The sequence below is a fragment of the Homo sapiens genome, chromosome 9, assembly GCF_000001405.40.
Source record: "Homo sapiens chromosome 9, GRCh38.p14 Primary Assembly".
NCBI classification, from domain to species: Eukaryota; Metazoa; Chordata; class Mammalia; order Primates; family Hominidae; genus Homo; species Homo sapiens.
Window position 1 is genome coordinate 17,615,456 of NC_000009.12, and position 22,957 is coordinate 17,638,412.

At 39.4% G+C, this 22,957-nt stretch overlaps 1 protein-coding gene across 3 annotated transcripts in view; it reads left to right on the forward strand.

Moving 5' to 3' along the window:
• The window catches only part of SH3GL2 (SH3 domain containing GRB2 like 2, endophilin A1), a 218,059-nt gene that overhangs the window by 36,390 nt on the left and 158,712 nt on the right, over window positions 1–22,957 (forward strand). Inside the window, exon 1 of one of the 3 annotated variants that reach the window (XM_011518005.4) lies at window positions 244–2,760. The exons of the other annotated variants lie outside the window; for them this stretch is intronic. Coding sequence (XP_011516307.1) covers window positions 2,614–2,760 — 147 coding nt within the window. The 5' untranslated portion in view covers window positions 244–2,613. Of the gene's footprint in view, window positions 1–243; window positions 2,761–22,957 lie in introns of those variants that run through there. 3 annotated transcript variants of the gene reach the window in all.

Genomic DNA, 22,957 nt, shown 5'->3' on the forward strand with positions numbered 1-22,957 from the left:
ACTATCCTGGCTAACACAGTGAAACCCCGTCTCTACTAAAAATACAAAAATTAGCCAGGCGTGGCAGCGGGCGCCTGTAATCCCAGCTACTCGGGAAGCTGAGGCAGGAGAAGTTCTTGAACCCAGGAGGCAGAGGTTGCAGTGAGCCGAGATTGCGCCACTGCACTCCAGCCCGGGTGACCGACAGAGCGAGACTCCGTCTCAAAAAAAAAAAAAAAAAAAAAAAAAATTCCCCTCGTTAATATGTGTTTATTGTTAAAAACTTAGGACGAAAGTTAAAAAAAAAAACCCACACTACTTAATTACAGAGATCTTCATTAACATAATTCTGTATTTATTTTCTATAGGAAAATTTTTAATGCTAACTTTCTAGAACTCAGTCAAAAACTACTGTAATCATTTTAATCAGCTGATTAATTTGCTCTAGCAGCTTAAAATGTTTTTGCTCCATTTTACTTTTTCTACTGCATGATAGAAAAATTGTTGTTCTGTGAATGAGAAAGTTAAAATTTGTGCTCAATGGCAGGACCCCAGAGAGATGTTTCTGGGAATTGAGATTCAGAGGCAGCCTGCATTCAGCTTTCTTCAGGTTACCTTTATTAATGATGCCCTTGATCAGTAAGGTGGATTACTTACCCATTAACACTTATTCTACATCAGCCTTAATGTTTTAGGGAAAATATATTTACTAAGCTGTTTGTGTACAGGAGTATCACACAGTAGATGAAGCACTTATGTTTCTGGAAAAAAAGAGATAAATTAGGAAGCTTTCAGATTTGTTTATAAAAGAAATATGAGGCTAGGAAAGAAGCATGATGACTTTTGTGATACACACAGTGAGTCAGCAACCCATTTTCCAGAAGTTAGCAGCTGCATTTTTTTCCATTGAGGGCAAAACATAATATATGGGTATAACTTTAGTGCTAGCTAATTACTTCTATTGGTGCTTAAAAAAATTAAAATCAACAAGGAGAAATCTACCCAAACTGATCCAATATACACTGAGCTAATGAAGGAAGGTGGTGTACTTTTTGTGGGGTAGTATTTTTATTTTGATTATGTTGAAGTGGTAGAGAAAGAAGGGGAGAGATCTGGGGGTCTGAGAGTCAGAGGAGGCTACAAATGATATAGCAAAGCAAATAACTAGATTATGAATCTTTTGAAATCATGCAGGGGAACAAAATATTGTTACTGCCTTATCAAAAAGTATTTTCTCCTGTATAATTTAAAAAATCAAGAAGGTGTCAACCTTAAAAATCGTATCATTGAATATAGTAAGTCCCTTTTTTTTTGTTAATATAGCCTGTTGGTTTAGTAGATTTTTGCATCTTATTGTCTGATTTTTATACCATACAGACTAATAAAAATTAGTTTATGCACTTATTTGTTACTTTTATTTCTGAATAGATAATACAGTCAGCGTAGTATAAAAGGTTAGACAGTGATGTCTGAATTCTACTCCTTCCCCTAGCTAGTTTCCTTCCCAGAGGCAACCATTGTTACTGTTACCATGTTTTCCTAAAGACAGTTCCTGCAAATGTTGGCAAATCTGTGTGTGTTCTCTTTCCTTGTCTCTGTGCCTTCCTTTCTTTTAGGAATGCTAGCATACATACTATAATATTCTGGGTCTGTCTGGTTGTTTTTACTTCATGTGCTCTGTAGATTATTTCAGTACACCAAGAGCTTCCCCATTGTTTCATAGTTGGGTAGTATTCTGTTGTATTATTATGCCATGATGTATTTAAGGAATATGCTATTGGTGGACATTTAAAATGTTTCCAGTTTGCTCCTTTGAACAATGCTGCAGTATATAAAGTTGTACATATATGTAGGTTTGTTAAGAAATAAGTGGAAACCCATAGCTGAAAGATGGTTTTAGGATTGTCCCTGGGAATTAGATCTCTATCATTGTTTCCCAGTGCTCCTTGGAACCCTCCTCAGGGAAATAGGCATCATTGGAGTAGAAGGCAAATGGGATTTCATGGCCAAATAAATTTGGAAAATGCAGTGTCCTTGATTATTCCTTGGAGCTTCCTAAAATAACTAGCATGTTAAAGGCTTAACGTGCTCATGTGGTTTTAAGAACAACAAAAAAACTGCCAAAGATAAATTTTCAGGCTCACTTGAGTATCACATATTTGAAGATGCCTGTTAACATCTTTCGAGACAGTTTCTGGGAAAAAATAGTTTGGGAAATGTTGACCTATGTGATTACTACCTGTCTCACCAATTCCATAGATACTGGAAACTAGCTAACTGAGTTTTCAGCTGACAAATTGCTTGCTTTTGGAGTCAAGTGTCTTGACATATGTAGCTTGTTCACCTCTCTGGTCCTATTGCTTAAAGTGAGAAATAGCGTATTTGGAAGGTTGTATGTCAGGACCATCTTCTGTTTGTGAGCGCGAGAGAAGGTAGGATCAGATATCTTGGGTGGAGCCCAGTCTCCAGCTCAAGACTTGAGTTGTAAAAATCGTGTTGTATTGTGGGACAAAAATCAAGCAGTTCATTTTGGCTAGGGTTTAGGGGATAGAAATGGGTGGAGGAGAGTCATAAGGCTTTCTAAAATAAGCTGCACTACAGCAGAAGTTGCAGTTGGGAGTTCTGTTGTAGAAAATGGAGAGGAAAGCAATAGATTTTTTTCCCTCCAGTTTGCATTGGTTCTCAACCGGGGATGATTTTGCTTTCCTGCTAAAGGGGATGTTTGGCAATGTCTGGAGACATTTTTGGTTACCACGACTGGAAAGGTGCTACCAGCATCTGGTAAGTAGAGCTCAAGGATGCTGCTAAACATCCTGCAATGCACAGGACAAAAAAATACCTCAGTAAAGAATTATCTAGTCCAAAATGTCAGTAGTACCTCCATTGATATACCCTTCTCTAATGGGATTCTACCAGGGTTGGAGAGTTAGGAAATTGTTACTTTCTTCATACATGGAGAGGAGCATAAGTGAGCCATGTGCCATTCTGGACTGAGGTGCCACCATGGTGCCAGCATTTGATAATAGTAAACTCATGACCCCTTATTCATAGTTTGGAAATTTAAAAAACGCTGGAAAATGTGACGTTTCTTCATAATTCAGTTAGCAGTAAAACCTTGCCTGTGTTGATGTAAAGGTATTTATAGTCTTTATTTACCTGGTTTTGTGTGAATGTTAATGCGCTTGACTGTAGGGTGCTGGCCTAGACCTGGCTTGGGGCTTTATTTAGTAAATATGCTGTATCACTCTTCTAAAGTTTGTAACATTCTATACTTGGAAACACTTTGGTCCCCAAAGGTTTCAGAGAAGAGATTGTGAACTTATATATTGAACTAAATTTTTGCCAAATTTGGCTTATTTTGTGTGTGTGTGTGTGTGTGTGTGGTTTAAGGAGTTGAAAGTTTAATAGAAGAAAGGAGAGAGGAGAGCATCTCCTTGCAAGAGAGAGAGAGAAAGAGAGAAACGTCTGAAAAAGTCCAAAGTTGGCTTATTTTTAAAAATTCAGCGCTTTTAGTAACGTTTATTGATTTTTTTAAATTCCAAAAATGACATAAGATCATTTTGAAAAGTTTAAGTACAAAAAAGTAGTAATATTATCAACCAACTGTATGGTACTTAACTGTGCGCTAGATACAATTCTCAGCACTTTATGTGCAGTAACTAATTTAATCTTACGAATCCCATTATACCTACTTTACAAGTGCAGAAGCCGTGGCATAGTAACTTGCTCAAGATCCCCTAGTTGATGGCAGAGCTGGGCTTTGAACTCTGGCACAGAGAAGGAAGTGATTCATCATCTCCACAGCTGGAGTGGGCTGCTGTGTGTACATGGATGTATTTCCTTATAGCCTTCTTTCAGCCTTCCCTACTCAACTATATTTGAGAATTTCCCCTGTTGTCTTAAATATTTTCAAAAAACCTGATTGTTGAATGGCTGACTACCTATTTAAAAGAATAGGTGAGGTGGGGCATGGTGGCTCACGCCTGTAATCCCAGCACTTTGGGAGGCTGAGCCAGGCAGATTACCTGAGGTCAGGAGTTCAAGACCAGCCTGACCAATATGATGACACCCCGTCTCTACTAAAAATACAAAAATTAGCTGGGCTTGGTGGCATGCACCTGTAATCCCAGCTACTCGGGAGGCTGAGGCAGGAGATTCGTTTGAACCCGGGAGGCAGAGGTTGCAGTGAGCCAAGAGTCACCATTGCGCTCTAGCCTGGGCAACAAGAGTGAAACTCCATCTCAAAAAAAAAATAAAATAAAATAAGTGAGTGAACCATAAATTATTTAAACATTCTTTTGTTGTTGGGCATTTAGGCTCTGTCCATTTTTTCACAATAGAAAATTGACATGGACACATTTATGTATAAATACTTATCCATATCTGATTATTTCTTTAGAGAATGTTTTAATGGGGCTTTTTAATAGACTCTTCATATATACTGTGAAATGTACCAGTTTATTCTCTCATTAGAATTCATTGTCATCAGCCTGGAGTGTTAAATGCTTTTCCCTTTGATTTCTGATTCTGTGATGTAGTATCTTGAAGTTTTCTGAGAAAATCAGACAGATGATTGGAAATTTAGTATGATTTTTTTTAAATTGGTCAGGAAACAAGTAGTTGGAATAACTGATTTTATAAAATTTTATATTTCAAAAAATTCAATTTTAGAGCCATTTTATTTTCAGATTAACCCATGAAGTTAAATCAAGGCTCCATTTCACATTGTTATGAAGAGCTGGTAGAAATAAGGATAGTGCAGCATTAAGAGATACTCTGACCTGAATCTTACTGGTATGTGATCAGTATATGCCTAAAACAACCATTCAGTAAACATTTATGGAGGATCTGCTACGCACCATACACTGCATTTTGCACTGGGTATCCAGTGAGGAACAAGTGTATAAAAGGAAAAATAGCAAATACTTACACAGTGCTTTTTAGGTGTCAGACACTGTTTTAACAGCTTACGCATGTTACTTAATTTATTACTCCCAACAACCCTATGAGGTAGATACTATTATTGTATCCATTTAACTGATGAGACTGAAGCACAGAGAAGATGAGTAATGGGCTCGCAGACATGCAACTACTAACCAAGGCAAACCACTGACTGTGCTAGTTTGGAAGGGCAGACAGAAGAGGGTTGGTGCAGTACTCTGGGCATGAGAAACTGGTGGCTTTTGCCACCAGCAAATTGGTCAAGCAGTCCAGCAATGGGATTGGAGAGAAATGGAGGCATCAGAAAGATTTTTCAAGATAGAATTTATCAGACATGGTGATTGAATGTGGAGGGAGAGGGAGAAGTCAAGGGTAAAGCCTAGGTATCTTGGTATGAGTGACCTGCTAGATGATGGAGCCCTTCAGTGAGTCCAGGAACAGTAGGAAAGAATGAGGAGCATGTTTTAGATTGGTGATGTCAGAGGGGTCTGAAAGGGGGAGGTAAGCAGAGGGGCATTATCTTCAAAATATTTGGAGTCAGTAGCTTTGAAGCTCACCAAATATACCCTGGTAGTTTAGTTATCAGAAAATGAGTTTTTAAAAAATACTTATAATGTGTAGTTCATGAGAAAGTTTTCCAGCGTTTAAAGATGTTGACAGAGTTTCAGTTGATTGCTGTGGTTTTCGTGTATGAAAAACATGTAAAATTTGTGTCATATTAATGCCCTTTTGAAGACTAATTTCAATGCCTGTAGACAGCTTTCTAATGTAGTTGTATCATGATTTGGGTTATCAATAATCTGTGAATGTATAGATTGTTGCCATTTTCCTTCATTGTAGATAATTTTACAATGAATGTCTTTATGCATAAAACAGTTTTGATATGCAGGATTATTTCTTTGGAGGTATAGCTGAACTACAATTTCCGAATCATACATATCACAAAATTAACTTCTAGAAAGACTGTGCTAATTTATGTCCGCAACTACGTGCAAGACCTGCCTCTTAATCAGCCATTGGGTTGAATTGTCCTGATGATTTTTGTGGCACCTTCATTCAATTCCTGCTTTTTGTAACATATCCCATGATCACAATCATATGATGACTTTGTATCCTGTGTCTTTATTTTATTGGAATCAATGCCTGATTCATACAGAATATTGCCAAGAAGTTTTACAGATATAATCAGATAAGAGAGGAGAGATCAAGATCATGTTCTTTAACTCTGTTTAAAGTATTGATGTCAGGATGATACTTCAAGTTTGAGGTGAAGTTTTTGTGCCAAAGCCTGGCTCATGGCTGTGAGGGCACCTAGGACTCACTAAAAGATGCGTGTTCTTCAGTGTGCACATTACCTGCCTTCATGTGGTAAGTGGTGGAGAGTTAAAGCCATTACATGGATCACTCAGGACAAAAACAAATTTTACTGTAAAATTTCTGGTGATTTGGGAGCAAAACTAGGATAACTCTTTTGCACTTGCAGTATGCCATAAGTGCCGCAGTTTTTGACTTTTTCTACTTTGCCCAATAAAAATGTTGCTCTACAACCCTTAATTTTTATAACTGTTCTGGCCTCAGTTTTCCACAGTGAATGTTCCTAGTTTGTGTAATGTTCTTTAGGTTGCTAATTTCTGCCTCCAGAGCCAGGAGATCTGTCTTCTTTTGATTATTCCCAAAGGTAAATTTTGGGAAAACTAGAATCAGGCTATTTCCCTATTTTTCATTTGGAAATTTCTGCATTCATAAACAGTTGCTTGTAACCTTTTAATGAATATGCATTAGGAGTTGTTTTGAAAATTTATTATTTAGGGATTATTTATTAGCCTGGTTACTTGCCAGGGTGGTACATTAAAAAAAAGTTTGTCCACCCATCTGCTTCATCCCGTAATCCCCCCAAACAGTCATCAACTAGGAGAATCGTAATATGCAAATAAGCCATCTGCAGTGTCTAAATGGGAGGATAGCTTCCAATTTTTAGTCAGAAACCTGCCAGGGGCAGGGGAATAATTTCAGTAGCATTCTTCCAAGGGGGAGGATCTCTTAAGAGGCAGCATGATTAAAAATGCTTCCATAGTAAATAAGGACACTAGAATTGGGTGTCCAGGCCACTTGTGAGCAAAGAACCTCCTATTTCCAGATTCGGCGCCACCTGTGGGATACTCATGTTTCATCATAGGTGTCCACAACTTTATTCTTTTAATACCTCTACAAAGACCAAAAAAAAAGTGATACCAATTAAAAAATGTGGAAGAATATTAATTGGGATTGAACAGTACCTGTGGTTTTCTCATGTGACCCTGGGTTTGTCTTATTCTCTGAGAAAGTGGGCTGGTAGGTAGGTGCTCTTGATGTCCTTAATTTCAAAATGAGGAAGTCAGAGCAGGCACGGTAAGTAAAGAATAATGGATCCTGAGCCTCACCTTTTGGTCACTCCGTTGGCAGGGTATGTGCTTGGGGCATGAAAACCAAGACTCAAAGACTGCCAATCCTCTGCCGCAGTTTTTGAGAGTAAGAACTATGCTTGCTGTAATATGGCAGAATGAAATTATACCTGCTCCTTCCTTGCTTCTTCCTTCCCTTCCTCCCTCCCTTTTCCTTTCGTTTCCTTTCGTTTCCTTTCCTTTCCTTTCCTTTCCTTTCCTTTCCTTTCCTTTCCTTTCCTTTCCTTCCCCTTCCCCTTCCCCTTCCCCTTCCCCTTCCCCTTCCCCTTCCCCTTTCCTATCTTTGCATTCGTTCTGCTTTAGTTCACTGTTTGGAAGGGTGAAATAAAGCCCTGGTTCTGTTCTTTCCCCTTGTCCTTCCATCGGAGTGGGCCCTTTAGTGGTTAAGGGTGAGGGATGAGAAGTTAGTCTCTGGTGTCTAAGGTCCCTACGATACGTCTGAATGTTGCCAGGTGTAGAAGATGTGTCCTGTCCATAGGAGGAGCTTGTGGGAAGCTAGCTGGCGAGGTTCAGAAAGTAGAGTTGTGGGATATGTGGCCTTAGGTGTTGTATACGTATGTAGTTCAAATGGAATTAGATTCTATATAGGGTAGTGTGTAGACTGAGAACAAAATGACCTATCAATCTTAGGGAATGAATTAAGAAGAAGGTTGCCTGTGAAGGACAAGTCAGAGAGAAATCCAGAAGAGATTGATGTTCTGAAAGTTAAGACTGGACAATGTTTCATGAAAAATGTAATCGGAGAATGAAGGTTCAATATGTTTTTTGTTTGCATTTTCTTTTTGCTTGGAAATCATTTCAAATTTACAGAAAAAAATTACAAAGAATACCTGTCCATTTATTTATCTAATTCACCTTTTCTTATATTTAACCCTATTTATAATTTCCTACACACACACACACACACACACACACACACACCACCCACCATATATTTTTCTGAACCATTTTGAGGATATGTTACTATATCATGGTCCTTTACTTCTAATTACCTAAGTATTTATTTCCTAAGAATTGGGATATTCTCTTATACTATAACCGCAGCACTATTATCAACTTGAGTAAATTTAACATTGATACAATTTAAAAAATCAGATCTAATATTTATATTCCAATTAACAAGTTAACCCAATTACATTTTGAATAATATTTTTCTGTCTCATACAGGTTCTAGTCTGGGGTCAAATACTTCATTTTATTTCATTCGTTCGTTTCTTTTAATCTGAAACATTTGCACAGCCTTGGTTTATCTCGTTTTTAAGACTGCATCCTGCCCGTTAAAAATGCAGTGGCTGTCAGTTTGAGGTTGTTGCTGCCTCATGATTAGATTCAGGGTGATGCAATCTCAGTTGGAATATTGCATAGTGATGTGTCCTTGCCAGGATGTCCAACCTGCAGGCACCTTATGCCCATCGGTGGCGATGATTTTTAACATCCTTTCACAGTGTTGTCTAGTTTCCTGATTATATAATTATTGTTTTCTCTTTCTTCCCTTGCAATAAGTGGTCTGTGGGGAGCTACTGTAAGGTCATATAGATATCCTCCTTCTCCTCAAAGTCAGTGCAAGATTTAGCATCCATTGATGATTATTACTGGGTCCAGTCTTCACAGTGATAGGTGCGCAAACATGATTTTCCATCTCCATGCTCTTTCCATGTTTACCATTTAGCCTTTGACATTCTGCTCTAAGCAAGAGTCTCATATAATTTTATTTATTTATTTTTTGTGTGCACTCAAGAGTTCCCATTTTCCGTTGGTTCATAATTTACCACTGTACTCAATTTGAGCCCTCAATCAAATTTGAGTTGGCTAGTGGGGGCCCCTTCAAGATGGCTCCTGTGTCCATGTGGCATGTTCCCATCACTTACTTTTGACAAATTTTTCACTTTCTGGCATAACAATGTGATCAGGCTCATCTTGTATATACTCTAGCCCTGGAGCCATCTGTTCCTTTGAGGATCCCAGATTCCTTTTAGTGGAGAAAGGGTATAGGCAGTATGGTCTGTGTTTTCCATTTGCTTCTGTGCTGTGTGAAGTGTTAGGCCCAGGCTTTGGGAACTATCCATTTCTTGGTAGATGTTGGGTCAAGTGGAAATGTTGGGGTACTGAGGAAGAACAATTTTGATTTGCAATTGGTAAATGAGGAATATCTGTTCAGAGTGTGAGTGAGATGAAAATTGTTCTTCTATTTAATTTGTTTGTAAACCTTGGCTAGAGTTGGCCTGACAGATTGTGTCCCTTTCCCTCTGGCCATACTTTTTTTGGGAGGGGGCTGGCCTGCATTTTAATGAACATGCACATTTTGGCACTCTCTCATGCTTGCATTTTTAGTTGTGTTCTCGTCTCACCATGCTCTGTAGGTGCCCCTTTAACATTGGTTCATCCTGTGTGAATGGGCAGGGGGAGGTGGTGAGTGGATGGTATTCTGGTTCCCTTGGTGGGAGCAGCCTGCAGAGGCCAGATAGTCCACATCTGTTGTTGATTGAATCCTGGTCCAGAAGCCCCACTTTATATTGCTGTGTGGAATGAGCAGAATTACTACTGTGGCAACACACAGTTCGTTTTTTACAGTCCACCTCCTTTCATTGCCTCCTAACTTGCAAGTCACCTGATAATTTCTGACACTTTCTTACCAGTATGGAGCTATTTAAAACGCATTCCTACTTTTCTCATCTCATGGGATCCTCTGGACAATACCTTGTGTGATAATCAGGCAGAGATCAATTCTATTTTACAGACAGGGAAACAAGGCAAAGAGAGTACATTTCCAATGGGGAAAGTTAGTCTCTTTTCCTTAGTAGCAAAGAGCTAGTAAGTGGCAGAACCAGAACTTCAACTTGGCACTTCTGCCTCTTTGTGCTTTCTTCTTGTCTTAGTTAAAAACTGAAGAAGAAAAGTAAGCCCTGTGGAAGCAGCTTAGGTACAGGAATTGGCAGGGTAGGAGGTGGGGTAGATTTCTTCCTTCTTAATCAGTTTCCTGTCTGAAGCTTCACATACTGGGGGTATCGTTTTTCAGTGTGAAAGGGAGGCTGAGGTCACTTTGTGTCTTCATGGGAAACCTGTCCCAGGAGGTATGTCTTAAACCCCATGCTTACCTCAAGGCAATTAGAGAAAACCATGTGACAGCATCGGTCTCACTGACTGTGGTTGATGAAGCAGAGCAGAAAAGCTGTTTTCTTCTCCTTGTCCTTTACTTCAGTCTTCCCCATCTCATCTTCCCTACCTGAGCTGATGGACTGTCTTGTGAGGCTGGGGAGGTGTCCACTTGGCTCTTTGGTTTTGGTTCCCAGAGGGAGGCTCTGGCCGCAGGACACAGCAGATGGAGCCTGTGGGAGCCCATGTTTGTGCCTCGGCAGGTGTGGGTCTGGGACGGGTCTGACCTCCACCTGGCACCTGCTTCTTTTATTGCCTCCATATGTCAAGGGGATATGAGCCCATGTGAGTGCTTTCAGATTGCTCTGGCCTGAGGCCATGGTTGGGAATGGCAGGAGCATGTTGCGGGGGACAGGGACCTTTGTGAGGGACAGTTGAGCCACTCTGAGGTTAGAGGACCACACAGCTGCCCCTTCTAGAAGCCTCGCTGGGCCAGAGGTGTGGCTTCATTAAGGTCCTAGTTGGACTGTGTCCTCATCTCTCTCTTATTTCCTGCTCTGTTTTTGATTTTATTTTCTTAAAATCTTCATGCTCATGGATTTTTAAAATGGCAGTAATGATTTTTATTTTTTTAAAGAGTAAAACAATGGCAGTCTAGTGCAGTTACTTTAAGACATATCAGGTAACCTTTACCAGTAAATCGAAGGCCATTGAATAAGGAATGTGTAAGGATCTGTGGACTCCCTGAAATTAGATGCAAAATGTTATATGTTTGTATGAATGCATTTTTTGGAGGAATGGCTCCCATAGCTTTCTGCAGATTCTTGTGGACATTTGACAGTCCCTCTCCAAAGTATGGCCTCCAATATGTCTTCTTCACATTCCTTTGGAGAACTGCCTTTACCTCCCGTGTCTCTCATAGATATCTGAGCACTTTAATTTGTGGAAGAGTCGAGGAAGAGGAGGCCTTGAAAATAGTCTCCTTTCTAACTACCAAATTTGGGGGCTGGCTCAGCTTCCCCTCCCCCATTACTGGTTCCCTGAGCAGGTCTGAGCCAGGATAATCTTCTTTAACCTCCACTTTCTGTCAGGCCCTGGTCGTGTGCTGGATGTACCTCTCCTCATGTAATTGTCACAACTACCCTGTATTGGAGGTGCCAAAGACTGAATAACATGTTTAACTTACTAAATAGAAGAATTGGGACTGCCGGTAAAAACTGCCAGATTCCAAAGCCAGAGTTTTTTCAATACACTCAAGGAATAAAACGTCAGCTGCTGTTTTTATTAGCACTCACCAATGAGACACCATCCTGTCCTGTTCCCTGTTTTCATCCTGCAGCGCCATATATTGCTCCAAAGCTTAGATAGTGCCCAGAGCCCACCTACAGCTCATCTTCCTATGAGGCAGAGAGCTAGCTTGATCGTTGGGGAATAATGGCAGAGCTCTCAGAAGGTGCTGGATCCCTAACCGCTTTGCTGGGTTCTTCATTCCTGGCCCACCCGAGAGCTCTTCTGGAAGTAAAGGCCTGAAACTGTGACCTTCTTGGCTATGGTGAAAAGTAACAGACGTCAAGTGTTAGCAAGCAGACCCTATCTGTTATTTGACTTTTAAAATCACAAACAATAAAGTAATCATTATTACAAGGTATTTTTAATGTCACATTGGCATGAAAAATTTTAATTCTGAGAGTATAATTTCTATGAATTGCTATGAATATAGTAAATTAAAAAATAAATTGCTGTGGCGGTGCTCTGATGGCATTTCAAAAAGGTGTTTGTCATCCTACCCTGCCCCTTCATCCCTCTGTGATAACTGTGTAGACAAAGGATAAAACCCAGGTGAACCTCCTGAGATAGAGGTTCCAGATGGCACTAGCTGAAAAGACAGCTGGCATCCAGAGAGGCCGTGTGGCTCTTTGTACACAAACCATGGGGATTGTTTATTTTTACTGCTCTAGTGACTCAATATAACAGTGGTCTGGGAAGACTTGGCTTTAGCCTCCTCTCTGTTGTGTTTTAACCTCTTCATGTCTCGGGCTTCTTACTTTTCTCCTGGTGTTGTTGAGTGTAGAGTGGTTGTAATGATGAGTTCACAGAGATTTAAGAGCTCTAAGTTCTTTTGGGTCAGAGGAGTGATTTCTCTTTTTTGCAGTGTAAGGTACAAAATATTAAATATCTGAGACGTGACTGTGAGACCCTGGTGAAGCTACCCGGAGTCTCAGTTTCTTCTTTAAAACACGATTATATCATTCAAAATAATAGACTGTATCTTAAATGAGCCAGAATGGATCAGACGTTTAGCATTGTTACTGGCACGTGGGCATTCATGAAGTATCTAACTCTTCTCTGTACCCCCTCACTTCTGTATACATGCCTTCTATCTAAATACAATCTTTTGATTGGCTGGAAGTAGAGTAGGAACATTAATCTATTTCTCAAATGCAGTGCCAAGCTTAAAAATGCATCTCTAGTTCTGGGGATGCCCAGATAACTATATCTTGGGTGTGTGTGTGTGTGTGTGTGTGTGTGTGTGTGTGTGTGTGTATGTGCATGCACATTTATCTATTTGTGTAAGTATGCATAACTGGGTCTACCAGATGAAATGTGGCTTGCCTTGCTGACTTCAGACATTTTGATTTAAAGATCTTAAGGTAAGAGAAGTAGAGTTAACAGCATACATTTAGAGCTAGATGCCTTAGCAGCTGGCTTGGAGGCTTTTTTTTCTTCTTTTTAATGGGTAGCTTTTTATTTATTCATTTTTTTTAAATGGGTAGCTTTAATTTCAACCAAAAAGTTCTGGGTAGATTTTTTTCTAGCTCAAGGGAGAATTGTATATTGGGCACTAAGTATTAACGGGTAAAATCCTGCCAACTGCCCTTTTATAGATCTTCAGTGTGAAGCAAGACTTTGCATAGGTTGCCAGCCAAAAATTGATATTGGATCCAATTCCATCAGAGAAGCTTTAGTATTTTTAGAAGTAACACTCACTCTAGCACAGCATGCGGTGATACATAATACCAACTGTTTATAAAGATCCATGTTTTAGTTAATTTCTAGAAAATTAAATTACCTTTTTTTTTTTTTGCTGATGCCTTCTGTCTGTCAAACAGAAGGAAATTGCATTAGAGTTCAAGATGTGGCCTTTGAAGAGGACTTAGATGAATTGGGATGTTGACCTTTATAGTAGGAGGATTGCGTGGAGTTTGGTTGGCTGGGAGGCAGGAGACCTGGGTTCTAGCCCCAGTTCTGCCTTCCATGAAGTGTGTGATCTGGATTAGTCACAAGGCCTTTGTGGCCCTCATATTGTGTAGTCATTAAACAAAGGGGTTGTATGAAATTCCCATTGTGTTTTAATTTTGATAAGTTATTATAATTTCATGATAGAAATGAAATATAGTGTGCAAGTATTTTTCCTAAAATTGTGAGATCACGTCTGTGAGATCCATGCAGCTTGGGTGGATCCACCAGTCTTTTTTATAATGAAGTCTCTGAAATACTTATTGAATGAATGAATGGTGCTATTAAGGTGATGGAAATAATTTTCCATTCACAAATTGCTAACATACTGCCTTTCATTTCATAACATTCTTCCAAAAAACAATATTCTTGTGACTATTATTGAGTATAAACTGGATACTTCTGGATACAGCTCTGGTTGTACATAAGTGTTTTCCTAACTAAAGGATTGTTTGGGGAAAATGAGATTTAAAGAACCAAGATACTGATTTTTGGTTATTTAGCACTATATCCTTGCCATTTTTCATGGATTCCCTTGTCTTATATTCAGAGAACATTTTCAGATTGCCTTAAGCCTGTTTGTTTCCTGTTTATCCAGGTTTCACTTTTCATTGATGGGCTACTACAAGGCCTAACTTTTGCATATACCTGTGTCCAGGTGTCTCAGTCCAGGAAGTTCTGTAGTCCTGTTTATGCCATGTATTTGGACTTTCATATATTCAGCAACTATTTTTTTCTGTATATATTTTGGGGTCTCTTACACCACTGTTTAAAATGTGGTTCCCAGGCCACCTGTAATGGAATCACATGGAGATGCTTGAAAAAGTGGCACGTTTCTGGTTAATGTGCCGTTCTTACTGGAGCAGAATATCTTGGGGACAGACATAAAAAGCCTCATGTTTTGCAAGTGACTCTCAAATTTAAGCTGGCCTCAGAATCACTGCTTTTGGAAATCAGGGTTATAGCTTTGTTCATGTTCTTAGAATCTAACATATAATTAGAATTCAATGAATATTTTTGAGCAATAAGTGAGCACATGAGTTGCTGGGTTTGTGGTAGTTAGAAAGCTATACAATACCTTTACCAGTCTTTTTGTAATGAAAGCTCTGAAATATTTATTGAATGAATGAATGGTGCTAATAATAAGGTGATGAAAATAATTTTTCATTCACAAATTGCTAACATACTGCCTTTCGTTTCATAACAGTCTTCCAAAAAACAGTATTCTTGTGACTGTTACTGAGTATAAACTGGATACTTCTGGATACGGCTCTGGTTGTACATAAGTGTTTTTCACCTTGTGTTACACACAAACACACACCCTACTCCGTTTGTTGGAAGCCTGCAAGTGATCACGCGTATCAATGCTAGGAGTGACGTCAAGTAGACTGGCTGGGAAGGGCAGAATGTGGTAGGCGGTTAAAAAGCAAAAGGCACATGCTATATGACTTTTTGCCTTTTCTTGTTGTCTTTAAGACTTTTGTGATGGTTACATAACACCAGTGGGACCAGAGACTAGGGCAGGCCAAAGATGCACTGATTAAGGAAATTACTGCTACCTAACAGTTATTCTGGAGCTCAAATATTTCCTGTTCATTATGCAATAATGTAGCCTTTCGAGTCTCCAAATGCCATTTGGAAGAAGAGGGTGGGGGAGTTGGAGGTAGTAGGTTGGATCTGAGGCTTAGTCTCTTGCCTGCTGTTTTATGGGCAAGGTGGGGCAGGACCTATAAAAATTCCTTCACCCATGGCCCTTTTCTCCTACAATGACTGTAGAAAATTAGAACCCTTTAACTGTTTAGGAATGTGAGTGTTCAGCATAAGGATCCAATTAGGATGATGGGGAGGAGAGATAAGTAGCAATAGATTTAATATGTGATGTTTGATAGCATTAAAAATGTCCCAAGCCTATGCATGCAGTGATTGCTTGATACTGTAGTTTTAATTTGAGTTATAGCATAGAGATGGTGATGCTATAGAGGAAAAAACCCGCAATTATTTTTGCACCAACCTAATATTAAGTTTTATATTTCACATTTGTAGGCTTGTTTCATCAACGGAGCAGTTTCCAAGGCTTCAAGGAAACATTGTTCTATGTTTTCTCTCATCCATCCCCCTGTGGAGGGATGTTGAGAGGAGAGTCGGTTTTGAAGGTGCAGTTCTTGCTTTCATAGCATGTAGTTAAAATAAAAACCACAGTGTAGTGTTCTGACATCCCCTCTTGCTCAGGCATAGGGCATATTTGGTGAACCTTGGCCATTCTGACAACTGTTCTGGCAGCTGTTTCTTGTGTCATTCTTTTCTGGGCTTTATTGTAATGTAAACCCACCAAACAAGATTTCTGGCAGTTCTGTACATGGAAAATATAAGGACTCAATTTGTAGGTAAGTGGTTTCTATCCTGGAGAAAACAAAGCCCATCATACTGGATGTTCACATCAGCTGGGCTGTATGACAATGTTGGTGAGTCAGTGCTTTGAAGGCCCTAAGGTTAAATGTTTTGAATACCACCCCCATGCATAGTATTTTGGGTTCAGTGGGGCTTTAAAACATCCTTTATTCTCCCCACATCCCATCATCTTCTGCAAACTTAACAATTTACTATACTTTTTCTGAAAATGAGCCTTTTAATCTCCCAATCCATAGTTGGACGAGGCTCACTTTGAAAAGTAAAGAGGTTGGCTTATTGATAACTTCAGGCCTGCTCCTTGCTTACATGCTGATGTTTACTTTTTGAAATCGACCTAAAAAATGTCAATACTTTGTTATGGTTTTGAAATGTATCTGATAATTCCTTTCTGGGCATGTTAAAAGTCTTAATTTTCTTGGCAACAGAATATTCCTTTTAGGGTTCAGTATCTGCTTTTCAGGGTTATTTCTGGAAAGATTTTAAGATAGCTTAAGGGCTTTCTTAACCACATAAAACATAATTTCCTCAATACATTTTGGGGGAAAAATCAATAATTAGTGTTAGTGTAACACTAATTAGTGAATGCCATTTGCTTTAATGCTGGGTTAAAATTGTCCTTGAATTTAAAAATTAGTTAAATCTTAGTACCAAAAAAATAAAGTGAAATACTACAAAGAAGTTGGTCTTTTGTCATACAACAACCTATCCATGGCAGTAGAGAAAAATAATTAAAAAATGCACAATCTCTAACACAACTATTTTTAGTTTTGCATTTTCTTTCCATCTTGGCCGACATAGCTACAAAGCACAATTATTGGAACTACAGTAATTATTTTGATTTTTGATTTTTATTATGTATCTAATCACTGTTTTCATTTTCCCATATACTATACAAATGTCACTGTCAAAGCTACATATTGGGCTGTCCGGGTGATTTACTGTGAGCATGCCCATATTCTTAGAATTTAGATTCCATCCAGTTATTTGAAATTGTAGATGATGTTATAGGGAACATATTTTTGCCTATGTTTTTCTTTTAATGATTACATCCTTTAATTAAATTTGGACTTTAAATTTGGAATTTCTGGGTCACAGTTGTTTTTATGGCCCTGAAATAACATTCTGTTTTATACTTGTAGAAATAGTTTTTGTTCTTGTAACCAACCAGAGCACAAGTGACAGGCAAGCTTTTAGCTTTAGGGATGTTCTTAACACATCCCGAAGATTTTGTGCTCTCAATGTGTCCCTGCTATTTGGGGCTTCCCTGAAAAAGATTCTGTCAGGAGCTTCTGCTAATTAAATTGAATTGGTCCAGCTTTGTTGTAAACAGGTAACGGATTGTGGTGTTTTATTACTTGATACTTATTGCTGAAACAAGTTTTATGAAAAAAGGAGAGTATTAGCCTGAGGACAAAAGTAGTTTGGAGTTCTGTAGAGGAGCTGCCAGTATTAATGAACTATCACTTGGAGCCTGCAACCTGTCAGCCTTGACTTTTCCTCTCCTGGGTCAGCCATCATTGGTCCTCCACATTGCTTTTCACTTTGCCAGCTAAGGCTTTTCAGTGGCTTCTGATATAGGTCTTGTTTCTCAAGTGAGTGTGCCCTCAGGAGGGGAACTGGGCAATCTGGGAAGGGAGCTTTGATTTCACAACCATGTGGGAATGCCAGTAGAATGAGACGCCATGATGAGTGTGGGTACCTGCCCTTCTTGGCAGGAGTGGACTAGAAATCAGTTGGTGTTACTGCAAGCCCAGTCCATTGATGTGCACATCCATTGTGGGAGGATACTACTCTCAATGGCTGCACTGCTGCCAGTGACGTTAAAAAGTCATCCATGTAAAAGCATGGGTAACTGCTTAACATGTATTAAATGAAAAAGCAAAATACGAAATGATCTAGGTACTGCACAAGTGTCCTAAATGTTTTGCATATCGTCAAAATAATATTAATATAAGAAAGTGTAAATAGCTGTAATAAGTTATGGTGAGATTAAAAGCCATTTCTTTTTCTTTTTTGCACCAACGTGTTCTTTAGTGTTTTGGCACATTTGTAGTAGAGTTTTGAAGTTATTTTTATAAATCAGATATGTAGGATTCTAGGTCTGTGAAATGAAATTGAATGAAGAGGATTTGACAGTCTTCTTAAACTTCTGGGAAATAAAGGCTGAAAACAGCAGGCTTTCATCTGTGTATCTTCTGAAGCTGAAATGAACACTATGCCCATTTTGCTGTATGTCCATTTGAGTATTTTCTAATACCTTTTTGGGGAGTAGGTGTATGTTCAGCTGAAAGAATATTTCTAAGTATCCAAGTCCTTAAGGAAGCTAAAAGTTTTGAGTTATGCAAGTGTGCCTTCAGTGTCCTTTGGCAACCCCTTTCTGCACTTTCTCCACTGCTGTGGTATGTTTCTTGAATGACCATGTCCCTCTTCCTGCTCATGAAAGCCTTGAGCTTAGTTGTGTATACCTTGCATAAAGCAATAGAGTGCAGAAGTAAAGAATGCTGGTTCTGGACTCAGACTCTTGATGTGGAGTCCTGGCTGGTTTTGGAACTTTGGGCTCTTGAAGGGAGTATCCTCATCTGTACGGTGGAGACCACTGGTACCCTCAGGTGGCTGTGGAGGTTGCATCGGTTAACACTAGTGAAGTTCTGAGTGCAATGCTTGGTCCATACTAACCCAGAACTGCAGTGGTGATGATACATATGATACATCTTCTTGGGTAGTTACATATTTTCTTCTTGTTACCAGGGTATTCCTTTTAACTATGAGAAATCAGAAAAATACAGAAAATCACAAAGAAGAGACTAGAAATAACCCAAACTCCACAACAGGTTTTGCTTTTTGTCTTCTCTGATGATGAAGTAAAATATGTTGGCCATTTGGAGAAGTAAAGATGTTTGTAAGTGGGGTGTTTCCAGACCCTCTGAAATATATGCCTCTTTTCTTGCTATGCCTAGTATAATACCTCACTCATTGTCAACCACTAGAGACTTAGCTTCTTGTTCTTGGTTCTACTACTAAATTTTTTGACTTGGGCAAATCATTTAAATATTTCTAGGTGTTCTTTAAGGCTTAAAAACCAAGGTTAGTTTAGCTTTGTCATTCTTTCTTCTCTTAACCTGTGACTTGGTTTATTTATGGTTTGTTCATTTCCTTTATATGTCTTCAGTGAAAGCAGCACAGAAAATGACTTTGGCCATGTCAGTCAGCCAACAGCTTTTGAGCAGACACTCTTCTGGCCCTGGGAATTACAGAACCACACAATACACACATGATCTGTGGCTTTTGGAGCCTGTGGCAGGGCCCTGGATGGGGAAGGGTAAGCATTCTGATGCTATAGTGTGATGGAAACTTCTGTGGGGAAGCATAGGATTCAGTGCCAGTACTTGTGATGCAAGTAGTTATTTGAGCATTCCTTTTGTTTGTTTTTAATTTTAAAGTTCAAGGATACGTGGGCAAGATGTGCAGGTTTGTTATGTAGGTAAATGTGTGTCATGGGAGTTTGTTGTACAGATGATTTCATCACCCAGGTATTAAGCCTAGTACCCATTAGTTATTTTTCCTGGATCTTCTCCCTGCCCACACCTACCACCCTCCTATAGGCCCCAGTGCATGTCATTCCCTCTGTGTGTCCATGTGTTTTCATCATTTAGCACCCACTTACAAGTAAGAACATATAGTATATGGTTTTCTGTTCCTGCATTAGTTTGCTAAGGATAATGGTCTCTAGCTTCATCCATGTCCCTGCAAAGGACATGGTCTCATTTTTTATGGCTGCATAGTATTCCATGTTGTATATGTACCACATTTTCTTTATCCAGTCTATCATTGATGGGCATTTAGATTGATTCCATGCAAGTTCTTAGAGACCTTCAAAGAATATTTGAGCATTTCTAACTGGAAGGAAGTGAAAAAGAAAGGTGTGGTGAGTTGAGCACGTGGCTGACTCATTGAGGAGTCCTGGGTTTGAACTGCTTTATCTGTAAGAGCTCAATTTAATTCAGAGTTAAGTGCCTAAAAGGTATCCAGCACATGCCTCCTGGGGTTCGGGATGCACTGTTCTTGACCTCACAGAGCATTTATTTAAGCTGAAAGTCATGTGCCTGCTGTGAGATTGGGTGCTCTGAGTGTACACAACAGAGGAAATCTGGCTGGTCTATGTTATTTCCTTGGAATGTCTCTTGGAGTCAGCTGTGATGCCCCCAGGGGTTCAGGCACAAGGGAGAAAAATGAGTGGACATCCTAAGGCTCTCTGAGGATTTCCTGGTTGCTTCCAACTCAAGTTGAGTATTACAGGAAGGTTTGGAAGGATAAAAGCCACAAAAATGGCAGTTTCTATTTTCTCTCACCTCCATTTATCAGCCTGGTCACAGCAGCAAGTAACCAAGAGGTCCTAAATGCAGTGTCCAAACTGTATGTGGGCCCAAGACCTGCCAAGGTATTCAAGTACAGCCACACTGAAGCTTTGCTTTCTAGGCACAAAGTTTGATTATCTTATATCTGCTTGCCATGCTTTTTAATATAACTGGAGTTAGATGTTGGGGTTTCTCAGTCTGTGGACAAATATGCAGGTGCTTATGTATGGAATATTAATGATGGAGTTTAAAAAGAGTTACTTAAGAAGAAGTATCTAGCATGGGATAACCGTGGATTGAAAAGCACCAAGTGCATCTTATGAATGCATTTCTAGGCCCTAGCACAGAACTTGCCACTGTGGGCAGCATGGGAATGTTAGGTAAAGGTAATGGATGAATGGTCTGTGTTCTAATAACCTGCCTGACCTGTCTGGAATTTCCAACATTTATCCCACACCCAAAACTCCCATCTTTCCAAACAATATTATATTGCCCTTCCTGCTAAACTGTTTGTGTACGGAAACCTTATGATATATAACAGCATGGCATAACCTGATCCATCTTTGCATTCTCCACGTTGATCATAGCTTTACAAAATGACCTTTTTCACTACTGGAGTCATGTCACAGTACAACTTCCAGCAGTGTTGCTGTTTTGATAATGATAAGGGAAATTAGGTATCATTTTCTTTTGACTCAGGAAGATTATTTTCCCATTGTGCAAGTTTACTAGCCATAGAGTTAATAACCCTCATCACCCTTATATCAACTGGAATTTTTATATTATTCTTGGAAATGATTTTAAGTGGATATTTAATTCAAATCTTGTTACTCTTGTGTCCACTGTACGTACTACTTACCTAGTCCTTGGTTTAGTCTTTAATGCCCAAACCAAAATTAAGGCCAGTTCTCTACTTATTGTTATAACAATTGCCTGCCCTGTGTTTCCTGGGTGGTTTTCTTTATTGTTTAAAATTCATTACAGTGATCCTAGTGTGTTGGATACTAGCATAAAAAGAAGTCCCTTCATGTGTGATGTGTTGTTATTGCTAAATTTTCTTACAATTTGCTTGTAGTAGGTTACTTGCTCTAACCTGCCAGTTGCCTGGAAGGGAAAGGAATATCAAAGGTGAACCTAGTGCATGAAGTATTTATGACTCAGATGGTCTCTTCTGGTCTGAGAAGAACTGAAGTTGTTGAGTGGAGTTTGCAGTAAATGGTGGTATCTTGGTTTGATAGCTTTGGGACAGGAGCACAAACATTTAATGGTGAATTCACGGTATGATGTATTTCAGCCCAAAGTTAAGACCAAAGCACAACTTTAGCCATATATATCTTATTAATGAAGCTTATTAAGTGAGTAAAGGAATGAAAATGGAAATGGTTGGAATATGACCATCAGATTCAGGCCCAACGAGAGTATTCTTAAATTCCCAGTCTTACATAAGAGGCTGTTTTAGAACTCTGGGGACATTGAATTCCCATAAACGTCTGGTTATAGCTCCCTTGTAGCACTTGTGCTGTTTATTATTGCTTTTATGTCTGTGTTCTTTACTTAGTCGGGAACTCCTATAGCTAGGAACTGTGTCATAACATCTTTGAATGAATAAATTCATATAAAAGACAGAATTCCACCCTGGCCTTCCTCAGGACAAGGAAATAGTGGCAACAACATTATCTTTGGACACACAAGTGTGGTTTGAATCCTGTTTCTTTTGTTTACTAGCCATGTGCCTTTAGGCAAATGTCTTGTCCTTTCTGAGCCTTAGCCTCCTCACCAGTAAGAGTGGGATAATAACCTCAGAAGTTATTAACATATTCAGAACAACCTAAGTGGGTGCTTTATGGAGTCACAGCACGTAATGAAGTGCCTAGCATAATGTCATGATTACTGATAAACTCAGTCAGACACTTAATATCTATTCCTCCATCCAGCTTACCTTTTGATCTTAAAACACTGATTTCAGCCGGGCGCGGTGGCTCAAGCCTGTAATCCCAGCACTTTGGGAGGCCGAGGCGGGCGGATCACGAGGTCAGGAGATCGAGACCATCCTGGCTAACACAGTGAAACCCCGTCTCTACTAAAAATACAGAAAAATTAGCCGGGCATGGTGGCAGGCGCCTGTAGTCCCAGCTATTCGGGAGGCTGAGGCAGGAGAATGGCATGAACCCGGGAGGCGGAGCTTGCAGTGAGCCGAGATCGCGCCACTGCACTCCAGCCTGGGCGACAGAGCGAGACTCCCTCTCAAAAAAAAAACAAAAAAACAAAAAAACCACTGATTTCATAGCACTGATGTTTTGCAAGATATCCTAGAGGGGCCCTTAAAAATTTATCATTTCTCATTTTCAAGTCAGTATCAAAAAAGTCCTATTTCGTTAGACATTCATTTATGTATCTATTATCCAGATATTTATTGGGTTCCTGCTGTATTCCAGGCCCTCTGCTGAGTGCTAGAGGTATATAAACCAGCAAAACAGGTAACGTTTTGGGTTGATCTACCTG